Source organism: Homo sapiens, chromosome 12, assembly GCF_000001405.40.
Source record: "Homo sapiens chromosome 12, GRCh38.p14 Primary Assembly".
Lineage (NCBI taxonomy): Eukaryota > Metazoa > Chordata > Mammalia > Primates > Hominidae > Homo > Homo sapiens.
In genome coordinates this window covers 87,327,075-87,346,895 of record NC_000012.12, presented here as the reverse complement: position 1 = coordinate 87,346,895, position 19,821 = coordinate 87,327,075, and the positions used below count along the sequence as shown (strand labels likewise).

The 19,821-nt window shown below is 35.6% G+C and overlaps 2 long non-coding RNA genes across 2 annotated transcripts in view; one reads left to right on the top strand and one right to left on the bottom strand.

Annotated features, from left to right (window-relative positions):
• The window catches only part of LOC107984478 (uncharacterized), a 55,308-nt gene extending 41,329 nt beyond the window's left edge, over positions 1–13,979 (top strand). The window contains exon 3 of the long non-coding RNA XR_001749242.3: positions 13,832–13,979. This is a non-coding gene — a long non-coding RNA (uncharacterized LOC107984478). The remainder of the gene's footprint in view (positions 1–13,831) is intronic.
• Positions 13,980–14,574: 595 nt separating this feature from the next.
• On the bottom strand, positions 14,575–16,157 carry LOC105369879 (uncharacterized). The gene is made up of 2 exons (NR_135020.1): positions 15,831–16,157; positions 14,575–14,966 (listed from the first exon to the last, which is right to left on the bottom strand). It is a non-coding gene; the product is annotated as an uncharacterized LOC105369879 (long non-coding RNA).
• Between the last annotated feature and the right edge of the window lie 3,664 nt (positions 16,158–19,821).

The following is a 19,821-nucleotide window of genomic DNA, read 5'->3' as shown; positions in this document are numbered from 1 at the left end:
TCCTTTTGCTTTCAACCATTTTGTTATCTTATACTTCATACATGTCTTCTATAAACAAGTCCAGATTATTTTGGTCTTTTAACTAAATAATGTATTTATATTTATTGTATATAAGTATATTGATATGAATATGTTGGTATATTTGATTTTATTTCTGCCACCTTATTTCAATGCCTCTATTTATTAAGCTTTTTCTATGCTTTCATTTTCTTATTTTCTTGCTTTATTTCAATTGAGTTTTGTGTGGTTTGCTTTGTTTTATTACCTCATTCTATTTTGTCTCCAAGAAGATTGAAAGTTATAGAAACTATTTACATTCGTTTTGTGGTTATATGCTTGCCTAACTTTCAAAAGACTAAAGTTAATCGTAGATCTCGGCTCACTGCAAGCTCCGCCTCCCGGGTTCACGCCATTCTCGTTTCTCAGCCCCCCGAGTAGCTGGCGCTACAGGCGCCCACCACCACGCTCGGCTAATTTTTTGTATTTTTAGTAGAGACAGGGTTTCACCATGTTAGCCAGGATGGTCTCGATCTCCTGACTTCGTGATCCGTTCGCCTTGGCCTCCCAAAGTGCTGGGATTACAGGCATGAGTCACCGCGGCCGGCCCTAATCATGTATCTTTATCTACCTCATGAAAAATCCAAGAACCTTAGAATCTTAATTTCAGTGTCTTAATTGTTACACAGCATTCTTATTTGTTGTTTTTCTTTAGCCCTACAAATTAGACATTGTTTATATTTTATTAACTTGGTGTTTGCTTTAATTTGCCCAAATATTTTCTTAACATTTTTCATACATTTTAAGCAATTATCTTTCATATTTTGTATCCTGAATTTTGTTTTTAAGGAATTTCTTCAATGTAAGTCAGTTAATATCTTTATTGTATCTTCATTCTTGAGATACTTACTTTGAGTATATACAAATATGACAGTTTTTCCTCCTGGCACCTTGAAAACAAATAATTCTATTGTCTTCCAGCTTCTCTTGTTCTGTTGGAAAGTCACAGTTTTATAGCTTTTCCTTTGGAAAAAGCTATCTTTTCTTTCTAACTATTTTAACCATCTTCTCTTGATTTTAGAATTACGTATATTCATTACAATGCATTTATCTCAGCTTCTTTTAACTTATCCTTCTTGAGAACTCTTTAGCTTCTCTATTTAAACATTGCTATCTTTCCTGAATTTTGGAACATGCTGACTCAAACATCTTCTTTACTAATCCTTCCCTCCACTTTCTCCTATTATTTCATATTAAACTCAATTTTGATATATGTTAGACCTTTTTGTTCTTTGTCTTAATCTTCTTATTTTTGCATGTCTTTATTTTTCTGTGCTTTATTAGGGGTAATTTCTTCAAACAGATCTATATCCATTTTCTAATGTTCTCTCTTCATCTTTGTCTATTTAAATCATCTATTGAGTTTCTAATTAAAATTACTATGTATTTTTTAATTATATGAGAATTATTTTTTTTCAGTCTTTCTTGTCAACTATGACAATTATGTTGTCAATTAATCTTATAGTCTATTCTCTTTTTATAATTTAAAACATTTTTAGCATGCTTACCTTTACATTATTTATTTGATAGCTTTGCTATCTCTAATGTCCTTGAGTTTGATTCCACACCTGTTTTCTATTTTAGATCATTCTGGATCATTTGTCATCTTAATTTTTTTTTGGAAAATTTGTCATTATAAGCTAATATTTCTTGGAACTTTATATGTAGGAATAATTTGGATGATGGGTTTAACATCCTTTTTTCGAAGAGAATATTTCTCATTTTTGTTAAATCCTCGTGATGCACTACCTCACTGGAGCTTTTTAAAAGTAAATTACATGCTTGGATTTACGGTCACATGCTGCAACTCTAGCTTGTGGTTAGGTATTCTTAGAAGAGACTTCCTTCCGTCTTTCTTTCCTATTTCTTTTATCTCTTTCTTTATTTCTGATTTATTTTCTCTCAGTGCAGAGCCAAAATGAGGGTCAAGACATCTCCAACATCTCCCTCTACAGGTGAAGTTATATTTTTCTAATTTACCCACTGATAAAAACGGCTTCTAGATCTCCTGATTTAAACAGAGGTCTCCAATGTTCTCTTTCACTTGAATTATTATTTGATGGTATCGTCTATATCTTGCATAGAACCAATTAATCTATAAACTTTAGGTCAGCTGGGCTAGTCAGAAGCTACCAGGGAAATACTAGAAGCTTAATTCTTGGACTTTTGTTTTTCTCTCTTATTTTTTTTCCTCTGCCAATCCAAAGGTAAAACTGGGGAGTTTGTGTTTTTATTTGTCAAAGAGTTTTCACAGTCGAAATCAAAAAAAGAATGAAGGCAGTCTTTTGTTCTCCTCTCAAGTTTTTTTAAAAGCTATACCATCTTATAACCTCTGCTCATTGTTTTTGTGGGTTTTTTGAATTAAAAAATTATTTTTATTATTCTTATTATTCTTCTTGTATTAAGTTTAGGGGTACAAGTGCAGGATTTGTTATATAGGTAAACTTGTGTCATGGGAGTTAGTTGTCCAGGTTATTTCATCACTCAGGTCAATCTAAATGCTGTTTTTGAAGGAAAAGGTAAAGGAGCCAGTGCTTCTGCAGGCAACTAGACTAGTGCATGTCCAGGCTGAATCTAGGATGAATGCACTCAGTTTCCTGTAAAGATTTTGCTTCTATCCCTGGCAGCATCTCATGAGGTCAATGGGTACATCTAATGGTCCTGGTTCCTAAGTAATGAGGTTGACATACTGGCTGAGAAGATTTTTACAGAAATGTGATGCAGTGGCACGCAGATGTCTCTTGAATTTGTATTCATGAAACACTAGGAAAAGGGAAGCCTTATAATAACTGATGTTTCTTTTATTATCAGCCAAGGAGGCTGGGGAAGAGCGTTGGGATAATGGAACACATAGAAGAATTTGGATTTTAAATTATTTATATAACCAAATAAAGTATACTTATTTTTTACATACCTTATTTGTACTTCTTATTTATACCTGTAATTGTTTTTACATGTGCATCTCCTAGTGTTGTGATTCTCCTTGAAAATAACTGCTTATTGCTAGATCTCATCCTTTTACATTTTCAGGAAGTTTTTACATGTCCCAAGACATTATCAGTTCATTTGTGTGATGTGTGTCTGTTGTCTATAAGCTGACCTCATATTAAGATTTTTATAGAAATTGCATTGTATCGAGGCGGGTGGATCACAAGGTCAAGAGATCAAGACCATGCCAGCCAACATGGTGAAACCGCGTCTCTACTAAAAATACAAATTTAGCTGGCTGTGGTGGCACGTACCTGTAGTCCCAGCTACTTGGGAGGCCGAGGCAGGAGAATCACTTGCACAGAGGAGGCAGAGGTTTCAGTGAGCTAAGATTGCGCCACTGCACTCCAACCTGGCGACAGAGCAAGACTCCATCTCAAAAAAAGAAAAAAAATAAAGAAAAGAAGACATTTTATTCCATGTTTTACCCAAGTAATTACCCAGCTGTGCCTCAACAGGAGCAAGTACTAAATGTGAATTTTTTTTTTTTTTTTGAGACGGAGTCTCGCTCTGTCGCCCAGGCTGGAGTGCAGTGGCGCTATCTGGGCTCACTGCAAGCTCCGCCTCCTGGGTTCACGCCATTCTCCTGCCTCAGCCTCCCGAGGAGCTGGGACTACAGGCGCCCGCCACCACGCCCGGCTAATTTTTTCATATTTTTAGTAGAGACAGGGTTTCACTATGTTAGCCAGGATGGTCTCGATCTCCTGACCTCGTGATTTGCCTGCCTCGGCCTCCCAAAGTGCTGGGATTACAGGCGTGAGCCACTGCGCCCGGCCAAGTGAAGTATTATTTTTATTCCCTGTTATTTCTACAGGTACCTCAGCTTGCTTTAAGGAATTATATATATCTATTGTACCACTTGATAGGCTACTATAAAGTTTTGGCTTTACTTTCAGTTTTCAAAGTTTCTGACAGAATTTTCTGTAGGAAACTAATAATACTTTTTAAACAGCTTCTGAAGTCTCTTGCGTATGATTGCTGTAATATTCTCTAAAAACTACTAAAATTTGGTATGACTTTCTTATTTCAATATTGAAATCATTGGGCTGTGTAGTAATAAGCTTTGTCAGGATTTTCTCCCTTAGAGCCCACTGATTTTCTGAAATGCAAACCTTCAACTGATTAGGATATAATTTCTTGATTTATTCTCAAACAACATCAACAACAACAGGCAGAAGGATCTGTTATTTTTCTTTCCTTGGGAACATTTCTAAGCCTAATGAAATTTTTAAAAGGTCGAGTAAAGGTTTACTGATTTCTTTGCTCTTTTCCCTTAATCTTCTTAATGCTTTGTATGCCATCTAAAATTGGTGCTTTATCAATTTCAAGTGCATTTTTGTCTTTTTAGAAAATCACTCCTATTTTTCTTTGTTGCTTAACTTGTCTGTCTTGCCTGAAAAAGAAATCAAATATTTGAATCAATGGAGTACCTTATTAGTATAAACCTATTTAAGTTATGACTCAATTTTTTTTCCTGAAAAAGATAAATTTGCTTTTATTAATGCATTGGCACATACACAAATTACAGATATGAGATTATAAATCTCAAAGTTATGCTTGTTACCTTCTTCAGAAACAATATTAAAGTATTCTTAAAAAACATTTCCCATAAGATTATAGATATTTGGGCAAATAACTTATCTTCCCATCAAACAATTAGAGTTGCTTTCCTGTTAATATCGAAAACATTTCTTGGTAATATCAGACATGCAACTCTCTGAAAATAACTTGTATATATTTGAAAGCATCATAAACTTTCTTAGGCCATGATAATTTATAAAATTATTGCCACAAAATAATAACTCAAGTTTGTGGTTACCAATAACAATATGTAACATCGTAAATAGCAGAAAACATTCCTGCCCCTTTTTTTTTCTACAAGGTAAAGTATGTTTTACTAGTGCATATCTTTATTAATATGACAGCTTATCCAAGACAAAAATAGTCTTGGTTTTCACCTGTTGTTTACTTGATGCTTTTCTCAAGTACATACTGTAAATGTACTTATAATTAAAAATGAGGGGAAATACCTAACACATATCAAATACTTGCCTTATGTCAGGTATCTTTCATAAATTATCATAAGCCTTTCTCCAAAACCACTCTCAAAGAAGATGTTTTTTCTATATTGTTTTATTCTTTTACAGAAAGCAAATTAACCAGTGGATGTTAAGTAAATTTCTCAAAAGAGAGACAGCTAGTAGACTGCAGATCCAGGATTCATGTTTCAGGCCAGGATTTTCTGACTCACAAGAGTACAACATAAGCTGAGAGAAAGGACATTTCTTCCACTATCCTTCATTCATGGTGGATGAGGAAATGCACCTTTAAAACATTATGGCATTGTCAAACCAGAAATATATACGGATTCCTTAGTCTGCTCCATTTAGGAATGCCTTCGGTTGCAAATAAGAAAATTAATCTCACACATGCATCACCAAATGACACAAGTGGGATTTATTTGTAATACATAAGAAAAAGTTTAGGGATTGATTAGCATAGATGTTCAGTTATCATTGGGACCAGGATTCTTGTTATATTTTTGCTTAGATTTTTTTTCTTAGATGTTATTTTTGTCCTCACTTTTGTAACCTCATGGTAATAATATGGCTACTGTACCCTCAGGCATCATATCCGTGTGCCTGTTACAGGCCAGTGGAAGAGGAAAATAAAGGGATGCCAACGGTGGACGACTTCTTACATTTCACTGGCTTAAAAAGTGTCACATGCCCCTCTCTGGCTGCAATGGAAGCTAGGATATAAACATTTAATATTTGTATTAGAGAAGGGATAATGTGTTTGGAAAGAGAATTTTGAACATCCCATCTATAATGTATACTATACACACATTATCCTACATACCTTTTTTTTTTTCTTGGAACTAACCCAAACTTATGTTTTCATTCACCTCTTCATTCAGTTATTTAAGATATATTAATTCAGTATTTATTGCTGGGTGCTTTAAATACATCTGTGATTAAAAAGACAGCATCTATCTTAAATAAGCAAAGTCAATTACAGATGAATTTCAAGTCTAATTGTAAAAGCAAATGGAAAAAGCTTTTTGAAGTAAAGATAGAATAATCTTTTAATCTTGGAGTAAGCAAAGATTTCTTAAAGATATTAATCTCTTCTTATATAGCTATATATACACAAGTCAACTGAAAATGCAAAATGTGAATAAATATTTGATAAAAAGAATATGTAAATGTCTATAAACATGTGAAAAGGTGTTTAAATATATTAATCATCAAAGAATTCAAATTAAAGCAATAATCAGATCCTACTACATATCAGAATAGCTACATATCAGAATAGCTACAGTGAAAAAGACTGAAAATCTCAAGTGTTTGTAAAGAAATCTTGTTTGGAGAAACTGAAACTCTTTAGTGAGAGTTCAAATTGGTACAACCACTTTTAAAACTTGTTTGGGACAATATTGACTATGACTAAATATATGCACTTTATGGACTAGCATTTCCAATCTTAGGTATATTTCCAAAATAAATCCAGACCTATGCCCATGAATAGACATGCAATAATGTTTATAGCAATATTATTGATCACAACCAACCCTGGAAATAACCCAAAGGTCTATCATTGGTAGAATGGATACATAAATTATTTTTTATTTATACAGTGGAATATTATTCTGTAATGAAAATAAACAAGTTAATAATTGCATGCAGTAGTGTGGATGAATCTTATAAATATGTGTTGAAAGGTGAAACAGCTTTAGAGCATGATATGGTTTGGCTGTGGCCCCACCCAAATCTCATCTTGAATTGTAACTACCATAATTCCCACGTGTTGTAGGAGGGTCCTGGTGAGAGATAACTGAGTCATGGGGCCAGTTTCCCCCACATTGTTCTCATGGTAGTGAATAAATCTCACGAGATCTGATGGTTTTTTAAGAGGTTTCCCCTTTTGTTTGGTTCTCATTCTCTCTTGCCTGCCACCGTGTAAGATACGCCTTTTGGCTTCCACCATGATCGGTGAGGCCTCCCCAGCCACGTGGAACTGTGGGTCCATTAAACTTCTTTTTCTTTATAAATTACCCAGTCTTGGGTATGTCTTTATCAGCAGCATGAAAATGGACTAATTAATATAGAGCATTTTATTTATATAAAGCACAAAAAGAGGCCAAAGTAACCTATGCAGTTAAACTCAGAATGGTAGTTAGGCCTTAAACAGGAATGGAGAATAAAGGGAACTTTCTCAGTGCTAGTAATAAACCAAAATAAAAATATTGGTGATCTTTACACAGCTGTTCTATGTGAGAGAATGCATCATGCCCCACATTTATAGTATATTTACTTTTCTTTCTGAACATTATCCTTCGATTTTTAAAAGTTTAAAATAAAAAAAGAAAGAAAAGACAAATCAAACAGCTCTGACATGGAACTCATCAAAGTTGACTAACAGGAGAGATATTAAACAGTAATCACAAGCATAACTGTGTTAATATGAGTTTTGCCAAGCAGATTAAAGGATAATTGCAGGTCTTTCAAAGAGGGTTAAGCCACTGTAATGAATTAGAAAGACACTATAATGAACCTGAGGATTGGAGAGTCTGTGAAGATTCCTCTGAGGAAGTAAGACCAAAGATATCACTTAAAGCATGAGCACATAGACTAAGAAAATGGCAATGCAAACAGGAAGAAGTGAACTAGTGTGCTGTTTTTGGAATTACACCACTGCTATTTTCTCACTTCTATGTAACATACTGTCTACCAAGTTTCTCATCTCGCAACAATTATGCCCACAATCTCCTCTAAGTCCTTTGTATATGGGCTTCCTAAGTCCTTTGTAAATAGGCTTCTGAAACTGATAAGCAGTGATAAATTTAATGTGGAAGATGAGAAGAAGAGATACGTTAGAGATCACAGGTTCTGTGATGAACCTAGATGTGCCAGCTCAAAGTAGAAATACTACAAGAGGAAGTTGTTAGGAGGCCAGATGGAGAGTTGAAATTTGGCCTTGGTAAAGTACTCATCCAGGAGACAAAACTATTTTAACTGAACAGATTGATTTCTCAAATACTGACAAGAGATTAGCTGAATTCAATTACTTGCCAATAACACTGAAATAACTGCTTGATAACTATGTACTGACTGAAAGAGATTATAAATCTGACATATCAAGACGCTATGCTCCATATATCAGTCAGGGATCAACCAGAAAAACAGAACCAGTAGGAAATACATACTGTAAGAAATTGGCTAACATGATTTTGGGAGGTGACAATGCAAGTTTGAAACCCCTAAGCTTGCCTTTAGGAGGGGCAGACTGGAATGCTGGGGCATGAGCAGAAGGTAAAACTGGGAATGCTGGGGCATGGGCTATTCACAGGCAGTTTCTTCCTCCTCAGGGAATCCTCAGTTTTACTCTTAAAGTCTTTCAACTGATTGAATCAGGCCCACACAGATTAACTAAAATAAGCCACTGAAGGTCAACTGTTTGCAGACTTGAATCTCATATACAAAATGCCTTCACACTAACACCTCGACTAGTATTTGGTTGAATAACTGGGGGCTACAGCATAGCCAAGCTGATACATTAAACCTCCTTTTATACTTCAATATATATGATTCTTTAATTTTGTTAAGTTTTAATTTTTCTTTGCTCACATCAGGCAGAGATTTTAATATAATCAAATACATTAGTGGTCCATTTCCATTAACTCTTTCTATATATTTATTTTAACATGTATGTACTTAAAAATACCTGCTTTTAAACTTTCTCTTTACTTATTTTAATGGACTTTTTTTCCCCAGTACTTTTGCCTACAAGAGTGACAGCACTTTCTGAATGCTCTAGTATAATTTGAAAAAACAAGTCTCTACCTCTTTGATATGCTAATATTAGCCTCTCTGGGTATCAGGAATTTCAATGTTCTGTAAAAATAACTGTTTGAAAAAATGCATATTTATATATTTGAATGTACGAAGCTATTTTATTTCTTACTTTTACATTTGGTGCACGAGTTTTTCAATATTATCACAAGGTAAACCATTATCTTTCCCCTACCCCTCTAGTTTACTTTGTTGTGAAAAGACAAAACAACCACATTTCTTTCTATTAACATATTTGCTGAATGAACAACAATATATTTATTCTACATTATTTTTATAACATTAAGATTTTAAATATTCTTTTTTTTAAATTTTATTATTATTATACTTTAAGTTTTAAGGTACATGTGCACAATGTGCAGGTTAGTTATTTTCATTCCTAATTTTCTGTAAAAATATAACTGCAGTATAATTTTAATAATAATCTGAATGAGAAAAGAATGAAGCACTTTAGGAGTTCAGAGAAGGAAGTGAATGGCTCTTACTAGAAGATATAGGAAATATTTTATTGACTAGAATATAAATTTGTCTTGGTCTTGCAGTACGTGAGTATCTGACAGGTTTAGAAGGAAATAATTTATTTTGGAAGACAGGAATATATTGTGGACAAAAGCCCAGAGGAATAAAAGGGCTTGAAATATTCAAGTGAATGGTAGAAGTTTAGTGTAAATGGAGAATTGAGGGCATGAAGTAGAATCAAGAAAGAAATCAAGTTGCAGAAGTTGTCTGTGTTAGGAATTGGATTTATGTGTTTCAAACTAAAGAGTGAGTAGTCAATAGAAAACCATGAAGCCTATTTAGGCTTTTAAACCTTACTGATATTTATCTATCCCCAATGTCCCCAAGCCTACGCAGTACATGATTCATAGCTGGCATTCAATAAATACCTTTGGTGATTGAACACATCCTGTGTAGTGTATGAAAAACAGATCTGTTTTTAAACAAAAGAGCTCTTTTGCTTGTAATAGTGAATTTGCACGGTGATAGTGAGAAATGGGGGGCAGAAAGACTAAATAGGAGTTTAGAAGAGAAGAGTTTGGGTTTGAGAACATTTTTTCTAACTATAAGCATTTTAAAAGATAGACTTTATATATGAAGAGTTCAAAGATATTTTTATGAAAAGGAGCCAGTTGTGCATTGTAGCATTAAATCACACTGAAACCTGTCTGTGAGCAATAATGTTTACAAACATCTAAAAATATATTAGTTGGGGAATAGTATTATGGCATTTCATAGAGTTTTTTTATACTCTTTTTTGTTAAGAGAGATTCTGAAAAATGTACTCAAACATTGGATCAATGTTGTGAATTTGCCAACATATTTTTCAGTGACAGTAAAGATATTCACCGATATCTAGATAACTAGAAATTGGATCTGAAATAATACTCTACCTCTGGGACTGCATTCTGTTTTCTGCTAATGAATAATTGGTTTTTATCCAAAGGTAATGCTTTCTTACAGGCTGGAGTATCCCACTATGTCTCTGAAAACTTTTTATTCTCTTTGCATAAATTGATCCCAAAGATTAAAGAATTCATAGTTGTGATTTAAAGTTGTATTTATTGACACCCATTCTTATTGAGTGTAAAAACAGATTGATGACCTTTGCTTTAATCCTTTTGCAGAATGGGTGGGGTTATTTCAGAATATTCGTTGGTTAGCTTTTTCCCCAGTGTCTGCCAACTTTAACACCCTGGACAAACTAATTTGTTTTTAAATTGCGTGATTTTTAGATTGATACTGCATACCAGAAAACAGAAACGAAAATCCCCTTGAGTTTACATTTTGCTTAAAATTATAATGAAGTTGAAATAAAGCCAACCCTAGAAATGATTCCATGTAAACAAGTAACGCATATGAAAAAATACTTTAAAAAATATTAACAAGCGTGAATTTTTAAATACAGTTCTCTAATCATTAATTTCTTTAAGAAGAAACTTTGATAGGAAAAACTTACATACTTTCAGAACGACCTAAGTGAAGTATAGACGAAGAAATTTATCCAGACACGAGGAAGCAGAGAGAGAATGTTTTGTTTGATAGATTCTTCAATATCAGCTAGGTTCCAATAACTGCATCAATTCAATCATAGACTAGGACTTTTTGGGAGTGTATCCATTCTTTCTTTTTCTTTTTGGATCCTTCCCTGATAAAGACTTTTGGCATAGTGCAAACCTCAATTGTGTCTTCGTCCCACATGGCAGGAATAGTATATTCTAGTAAATTGGTTTGACCGAGGCATTTGTCTTCATCATTTTTACTGTTAAAAATCCAATCTAAACTTCAAGTTTGACTTTTTACAACTAATTCCATTTTTCTCTCAACATGCTCATGAGCCCCTAAGATGTGTACCTACTGTCTACCTAATGTGATTTCACAGATATATCTTTAAATGGTTAATTAGGCCTTAGGTTCTGTCTTCATTCATTAGGCATTAAATAAGTTCATGCTCAATTAGGTGATCAAACTTACTCATAAATCAATAAGTGCAGGATCAACTGAATATGATTACCTCTCATTTAATGCCAAGGTGTTCACGGTAGGGCAGAAGTGCATTAAGGCCCTCTAACTTTGGCACAGGTAGATTCCTTGCCATAGAAAGCATGGATTATTTGTTCTTCCAGAATTATTTAATGCATACTGAGGGCACTAAACACTGTGGTTTTTATAGGAATTGGAATGAGAGAAAAAGTAAATCTTCCATTTTTCCTGAATTTTAGGAATTGTATTAGATTTATTTTAAATTTATCAGTGTACCAATTTACCAAATCGAGCCCAAGAAAGTGATTGGGCACAATAGAAAGAGCTATGTACTTTGTAAAGTGGATGGGTGTCTTTGTACAGCAACTTTAGTACCAAATGAGACTGAAGATGGATTGTTAGGTGTGGAGCAGTGGATGATGGAGATATTTCAGGTAATGATGGAACCATACTATAGTACTCACTTCACTTTTCATAAATAGAAAATGCTTGCATTAACTGGCTAAAATCTTTGATGATTGCTGCTATGCAGATCGAGTGCATAATGCATGATTGTATTTGCACCAAATCTTAACCAAAGAATGTACGAACCTTACCAGTTACCCATTTTTTAAAGCCAAGACATCATGTGAATACTAGTGAGAATGACACCATTTACTCTATTAGAAGAACAATTGCAGAAAGACTGCTTTTTCTATAATATACTTCCATGCGGAAGGGTTGCAAGTGGGGAAATTAACAAACTCTTCATCTATCAGTTACTTTTAACTTATGTCTCTGTTTCTGCTTTGCTGTGATTAATTCTTGCCAGTCTTGTCATTAGCAATCCTCCAGGTGTCCTCCAGTCTGTAACTTTTCACCTTCTTCAACTTCTATCTTACAGCATTGCTTACTTCCAAACACAAGTTACAGTTTAACCTGATGAGGGGCTTAAACTGAAGTGAAACTCTTCGATGAAAATTTAAAAATAATCTTAGTTTATAGACTCTTTGAGGGTCTTGTTTACTTTTGTACTTCAAAATTATAGCACAGTATCTGAACATAATAGTTGCACAATGAATATTGGTTTAATAAACAATTCGATGTTTCAGATCTTCATTGCTGTTAGTATTGTTAGTATTGTTAGTATAACATTGAATATTATAATTAAATGTTCCATTATACTAGGGATGTTTCAGTGCTTTGAGATGATTATAAACAACTCCTGGCTGAGCCTGCTTACTGTTTGCCTGGCACTATACATGTATGAATGGAATAATTGCGCACCTATGAGAAATTTATTTAATTTATCTACAGTTGAAGAAATTAAGGAATAGACTGGTTTAGTGATTTGCCTAAGATCACAAAGCCATTCATAGGGCTAAAATATCAATCCAACAATCTAATTTCAGAGCACACTTTCTTAACAACTCTGTTATAAAATAAAAACTGACCATCTAGTTTAGCCAAGATTAGTATTACCCAGATATTTGGATTTAATGATAGGGTGGACAACTCTAATTTTGTCAAAAATGGTAGGAACAAAGTTACTATTACCTAAACTGTGTGCAATAAAATATATTTTAGGACAAAAATAGAAATTACAATACATAGCATAATAAAGGACAATTATTTAGGTTGACAAAAACATGAACTAATCAGTGTGCTGTTCTCATGTTTTCATTTCACTGCTCCCTGATAACAATGCTTTCATAGACGGCAATGGCAAATACACTGGCATTGGGGAACCTTTTCTGTATGTATACTATGCACTTTTGCCATGAACCTTTCTGTTTCCATTTGTCCCCTTATACCTAGAACAGATTTTAATGTGCCCTAGGAGCCTATACATTGCAAAAGGGCATCATTTGCTCCTTGTGGAGATGAGAGTATGGTCATTTCCCCAGCTGTCCTGCATTTCAGGGTATCTGGGCAGGAAGCCAGGAGCATTAGAAAATTAGACTAGGATAAAATCCTCTTGAGTTCATATGCAAGAAGGTATTTTTTAGTGCCCTCAGGGATCAAAGGCGAGGATAAAGCTGATTCGTTATAACTGGGTGACACAAATTTATAGTAGTATGAATAAATAGCTATGTTTGAGGCTATGTTAAGACATGACTATTTCTTCAAACGACCGGTTCAATTTTATCTTTCTCTTTAGCAGCAGATTCAGCATTGAATCAGTTTCAGTACTTATTTCTGATAGCAGATAAAAACACCATTTCCTCATATTTCCTCAAATGTTAAAACGCTTACAAAGTGGAGCATGGAAGATAGCACCCATGTGTAGTATATTTGTGTTCTCTCAAAGCAAACAAAGGAAGTGAGACTATTTCCTATTTCCTTAGAAATGGGTATAATTATGTTCTATATAGTTCATCAGTTACATTTTATTACACTTAGATGATTTCATCTTGCTAATGCAGAGATAACCTACTCTGATTCATGAATTCACTTTTCTGATTCCCCAGCAATTATATTAGCATACTTGAATTACCCCATTTCCTGCCTTCTGAGAAGTGAAGAATAAAATGTTTCTCCTGTCAAAGATGAACCCCTTCCTCTGTGATCCTTTGGATGCCACCCCAGCTGACTTTCTCAGGAACTTGTCCTCTGCAGGTAATCTCTTCCACCTTTATTGTTATCTACCTCTTCCTCTCCCTGGAATTTTCACTTAAGCTTAATACTGTTTAATAGAAACTCTGTCTTAGTCCATTTGGACTGCTACAACAAAATAGCACAAAGTAGGTAGCTTATAAAAAACAATCATTATTTACAGTTCTGGAGGATGAGAAGTTTGAGATCAAGGCAGGCTCAGTCTGGTCAGAGCCTGCTTTCTGGCTCATAGACAGTGGCTTATTGCTTCATCTTCACATGGTGGAAGGGACAGGGGTTCTCTCTAGGGCCTCTTCCATAAGTGCACTAATCACATTAATATCTTACCCTTATTAACTAGTCATTTCCACAAATCCCCACCTCTTAATACCATCACCTTGGGTGTTAGAATTTCTACATATAAATTTTGGAGGAACATAAACATTCAGACAATAACAATCTCCTATTTCAAAAACAAACAAAGCAAACACCTAAACAAGTCCTCTTTTATTTCTACTGTTCTGCTTTCTCTTCATTTTCACACCATTTGTTGACAAATTTTACACAGATATTTATATGAAAGATAAAGGATAGGATGATGTCAATGAGATGAGGGAAATACAGAGTAGCAACAAGTTTTTTATTGAATGTATTTTTATGCCAGAATAGCTCGTGAACATATGTATCCAGTTCTCTATTTTGTATTAGTTATCTATCACTTCATATTACATTATCAAAAACTTGGCTTAAAAAATTACACATTTGTCTCACAATTTGTATTGGTCAGGAATCTGAGCACAAGTTAGCTGGGTCTTCTGCTTCAGGTTTTCTCACAGACTACAATCAAGGTGTTGTCTGTCTTTTGTCATCTCCAGAGCTCACTGGGAAAGGACCCACTTCCAAGTTCATGGGGTTGTTGGCGGTATTTAGTTCTTTGGGCTTTTGGACTGATGCCTTCAGTTCTTTGCCACACAATTCTAACATGCAGTTAGTGCCATCAAAGTGTGTAACCTGAAAAAGCAATACACAGAGTCTACTGACAACATGAAGGCCACAATTTTTAGTAATCTAATGTCAGAAGTAATAGTCCATCACCTTTGCCATATTAGAAGCAAGTTACTTCCCATTTTCAAGGGAAGGAAAGGATTACAAATAGATGTGACTATTAGGAGGTGGGATCATTGCGGGCTGTCTTAGACATCTATCTGCACTCAGTTTCTCAAGTACTGACTATGTAAATGACAAACATAATTACCCAGAAATAATACATATAATGTAATTATCACAATCATCATCTAAATGTAGTATTGAAAGTATATAAACATAAATAAACAAAATGCAAAAAGTTTATGATCACCATGTACGATATGATTCAGATTTTATTGAAATAGTAGATAGAAAACATCAGAACTGTATAATAGGTTGGTGCTATAATTTCAGATTATAAACAAAAACATGTATAGTTTCCATTACCCTTTTTCAATATGCAAAATATGGAAAGAGAAAGACCAAGATAATCAACCAGGAATGAAATGGTATTTATATTGTATCAAGGAATACTGTAAGTATTTTATGTATGTTATCTTATGAGTAAGCAATTGCTATTGAAAACCCCATTTTAAAGATGAAAAAACTCACCCAAAATATCATACCTAATAATTTATGGAGTTAATTAGAATTTGAACTTATGTTTTCTGATCTCAGCATCCAGGTATTTACATATTTATTTATTTATTTATTTAAGATGGAGTCTCGCTCTGTAGCCAGTCTGGAGTGCCGTGGCGCGATCTCAGCTCACTGCAACCTCCGCCTCCCAGGTTCAAGTGAGAATCCGTGTTTTTAAATACCAGGTGAAATTGCCTGCCCAGTAGTTACCTGCAAGGTGTTCCAGTATGTCCTTCTGGGATAACTAGAAATGGAAGGCCAGGAGCTGTTAATAGGTCAGAAGTAGTAGACTAAAGACTGACAAAGGACTATGGTTTGTTGTTGTTGTTGTTGTTGCTGTTCTTTTGAGACGGAGTCTTGCTCAGTCGCCCAGGCTGGAGTGCAGTGGCGTGATCTCGGCTCACTGCAAGCTCCGCCTCCCAGGTTGACGCCATTCTCCTGCCTCAGCCTCCCGAGGAGCTGGGACTACAGGCGCCTGACACTGTGTCCGGAATTGGTGGGTTCTTGGTCTCACTGACTTCAAGAATGAAGCCGTGGACCCTTGCGGTGAGTGTTACAGCTCTTAAGGTGGCGCGTCTGGAGTTTGTTCCTTCTGATATTCTGATGTGTTCGGAGTTTCTTCCTTCTGGTGGGTTCGTGGTCTCGCTGGCTCAGGAGTGAAGCTGCAGAACTTTGCCGTGAGTGTTACAGCTCTTAAGGCAGCATCTCTGGAGTTGTTCGTTCCTCCTGGTGGGCTAGTACGGGGAGGCTCCGGCCGCACAGGAGCCCTTGGAGTGGGTAGGAGGCTCAGGCATGGCGGGCTGCAGGTCCCGAGCCCTGCCCCGCGGGAAGGCAGCTAAGGCTCGGTGAGAAATCGAGCGCAGCGCCGGTGGGCTGGCACTGCTGGGGGACCCAGTACATCCTCCGCAGCCGCTGGCCCGGGTGCTAAGTCCCTCACTGCCCGGGGCCAGCAGGGCTGGCCGGCTGCTGCGAGTGCTGGGCCCGCCAAGCCCACGCCCACCCCGAACTCCAGCTGGCCCGCAAGTGCCGCACGCAGCCCCGGTTCCCGCTCGCGCCTCTCCCTCCACACCTCCCTGCAAGCTGAAGGAGTGGGCTCCAGCCTTGGCCAGCCCAGAAAGGGGCTCCCACAGTGCAGTGGTGGGCTGAAGGGCTCCTCAAGTGCCGCCAAAGTGGGAGCCCAGGCAGAAGAGGTGCCGAGGGCAAGCGAGGGCTCTGAGGACTGCCAGCACGCTGTCACCTCTCAACACCACGCCCGACTAAATTTTTTGTATTTTTAGTAGACACAGGGTTTCACCATGTTAGCCGGGATGGTCTTGATCTCCTGACCTCGTGATCCGCCCGCCTTGGCCTCCCAGAGTGCTGGGATTACAAGCGTGAGCCACCGTGCCCGGCCAGGACTATGTTTTTTAGAGTGATGATATCCAAACTAAGATCCTTTTGAGAGTGAAAAGAATTGCTATTAATACTTAACACAGGAGTAATAGACATAAACAAGCCAGTATCACAAGCAAACTGAGACATTTGGTTACTTTATTTTTCTGGAATGTCCAGGATTGGCTTGTTGAGAAGGCTTTTTAAGGGAGTTTTCAGAAAGGACATAACTAATAACTTCTTATCTTTGACTCTCTGTGAATGTGAACATGTATTTATCTGCCAAATACCATTTCTGCACACTTTTACTGCATAACAATCTCTTCTCACACAGCTACCAGAAGCTTCCATCTCCTTAGGAGAGAAAAAGCAGTTGAGGAACGGATGTTACCAAAATGAAATTATCAATATCAAACAGTGAGAACAGGACTAACACTTTAATAAAACATACCACTTGGTTAACTAATACACCCCATTCCTAGTTCTGCCAGTTTGAATAACTACTATATCAGGCACATTGTGATTATATTTCTTTATGTCAGTGGTATTCAAAAGGGGATGAGTTTGCTTTCTGGGGAATTTTGGTGATGTCTGGAAATATTTTTGGTTGTCATAATAAGGAAGGCTGTTGGCGTCTAGTGGATAGAGGCCAGGGATGCTGCTAAACATCCTGTAATATGCAAGATCCCCTCTCCCTCCATCCCAACAGCAAAAAATTGTGTAGACCAAATTGCTAATAGTGCCAAGGTTGAGAAACTTCACTTCATATTAAAAAAGAAATGAAGAGCTCTTGGTTCCATGATTTCTTTTTTCTCTTTACTATGAAAAGAACTGGCTACTCACTTATACACTTCAATAAAATAAATCTATATAGGTGGTGATGATCATTAGGACAGTAGGTTAGTGGATAAATTTTAATATAGAACAAAAGAATCCCTCTCTTTAACTCTCCTAACCCAGATGGATTTTTCATTAAGAATTTCACAAACGTATCTTCAACAAACTCATAAAACATGCCTTTGCTCCTTGACCCTCTGTCAGAAAAAAATACATTAAGCCATTTTCCTCTTCAAAAATTTACATTATTATTAATTACCAAAACCTGCTATATAATTATGAAATAGCAGCATTAAAGAAAGAAAGAAGGATAGTCTACTTAGGCAAACTCAACTACACTTAAAAAAGAAATTATTAAAAATTGTTGAATATCATAATGTTTAGAAATTGCATGCTCTATCTTAATAAATTGAGTGCATTTGAAGCAACTACAAAATAATTGTCAGAACATGTATTTTAAGAAGGAAGGCATACCTTAATCATTAGGTCACTATAGTAGCTTATTCTTATCAAAGTGCTTATGAATTGTATTTTTGATATTTCAACTATGGAAGTTATAGAGAGAATATAGATTACTTTTGTGCTGTATTTTAGTTTACATTTATAAAGAATCCATTATAAAAAACCATGTAGACATATGACATTATTGCTTTATATGCATTTTGCATATATTCACAAAACAATTTAGAAAGAAAAAAACTTGAATTAAATAATTTTTTAATAGTTCAAAACCTTTTAAAATAAAACGACCTTCTCTTTTTAAAATCAGAAAATATAACAAGTTATAAGGAAGCAAATTAAGATTACATAATATATTAACAGGCAGAGGATGTTATTAAAATTTCATTCTTCCAGATTTATGCATATACTCATATGTAAATGGAACCATTCTGTTTTCCGTTTTATAACACATCTTTATTCTGTTATTTTGAGAACAATTAACTGGTTAAATACCATCATTTAATATGAAGTTTGGTCAAAAGGCTAATTGATGCTTCTTACAATACAACTAAGTATAATTAGCCTTCTGATAACCAGGTTATTTCTATTTATTTTATTTAGCCTTTCTGCTATAATTTTAATAAGAATCATTTCCTATTCACAAGAAAGACGTCTAAAAAAAGCCTCTCTAAAATACTTCAAGTGTAGTCTAGAATCCAGTAACCTTCATAAATACATTTTCTAAGTGATAAAAAATTTTTTGGCTAGTCTATACTCAATTTCTCTACATCCTTTTCTATGAAATACACATATGAACAAATGTACATAACTACATCTATTGATCACAGGATTAAATAAATAATTATAAATTATTCAGAATGCAAATAAACTTATTTTATATGGCCTTAAAGAATCTATCATAAATTTGGATATATACTTCTAAATGTTGTCAAAAACCATGATGAACCTGAGACTTTATGCTATTTGCAAGCTAAAAAACAAAGTCAGATGAAGTTTTATAAAGTTTTGCTGCAAACATCAGATTTCACATGCGCAGCAAAAGAATAGCTTATTACTCACTGCAGTAGTAGTACCTGATGTATGATCATTTTCTTGTGATGGTCCCATAGCCCGAATTCGCACAGGATGGTGAAACAAAGGCAAGGTGATGCCTGCAACTCCAGTGGGTTGCATAACACGGGAGGAACCACAAACTCAGAACCCCCCCCACCTGTTTTTGTGGTCTACAGGCAAACTCCCCTGTTGCCTTGGAGGGAGACACTCTATTGGACAGTAAGCTAAACTGCCCTTTGCTCCAGAGTGAGCCATTATTTCTGTCTTCCAAGTCTGTTGGTTATACAAACATCTTCAAAAAATTAATCTAGAACAGAGGGCTGTCAGTGTTGCTGCTTGCCAGATGTGCAGGAATGTTCCACTTCCCCAGAGAAGTGTCTCCCAACTTGTGGTAGCTTAATGATGAACAGATCATTTATTTGGACAACAATCTCAGCTAGATAATTTAGGTCTGGACTATCTAGTTTTATAGGGCTAC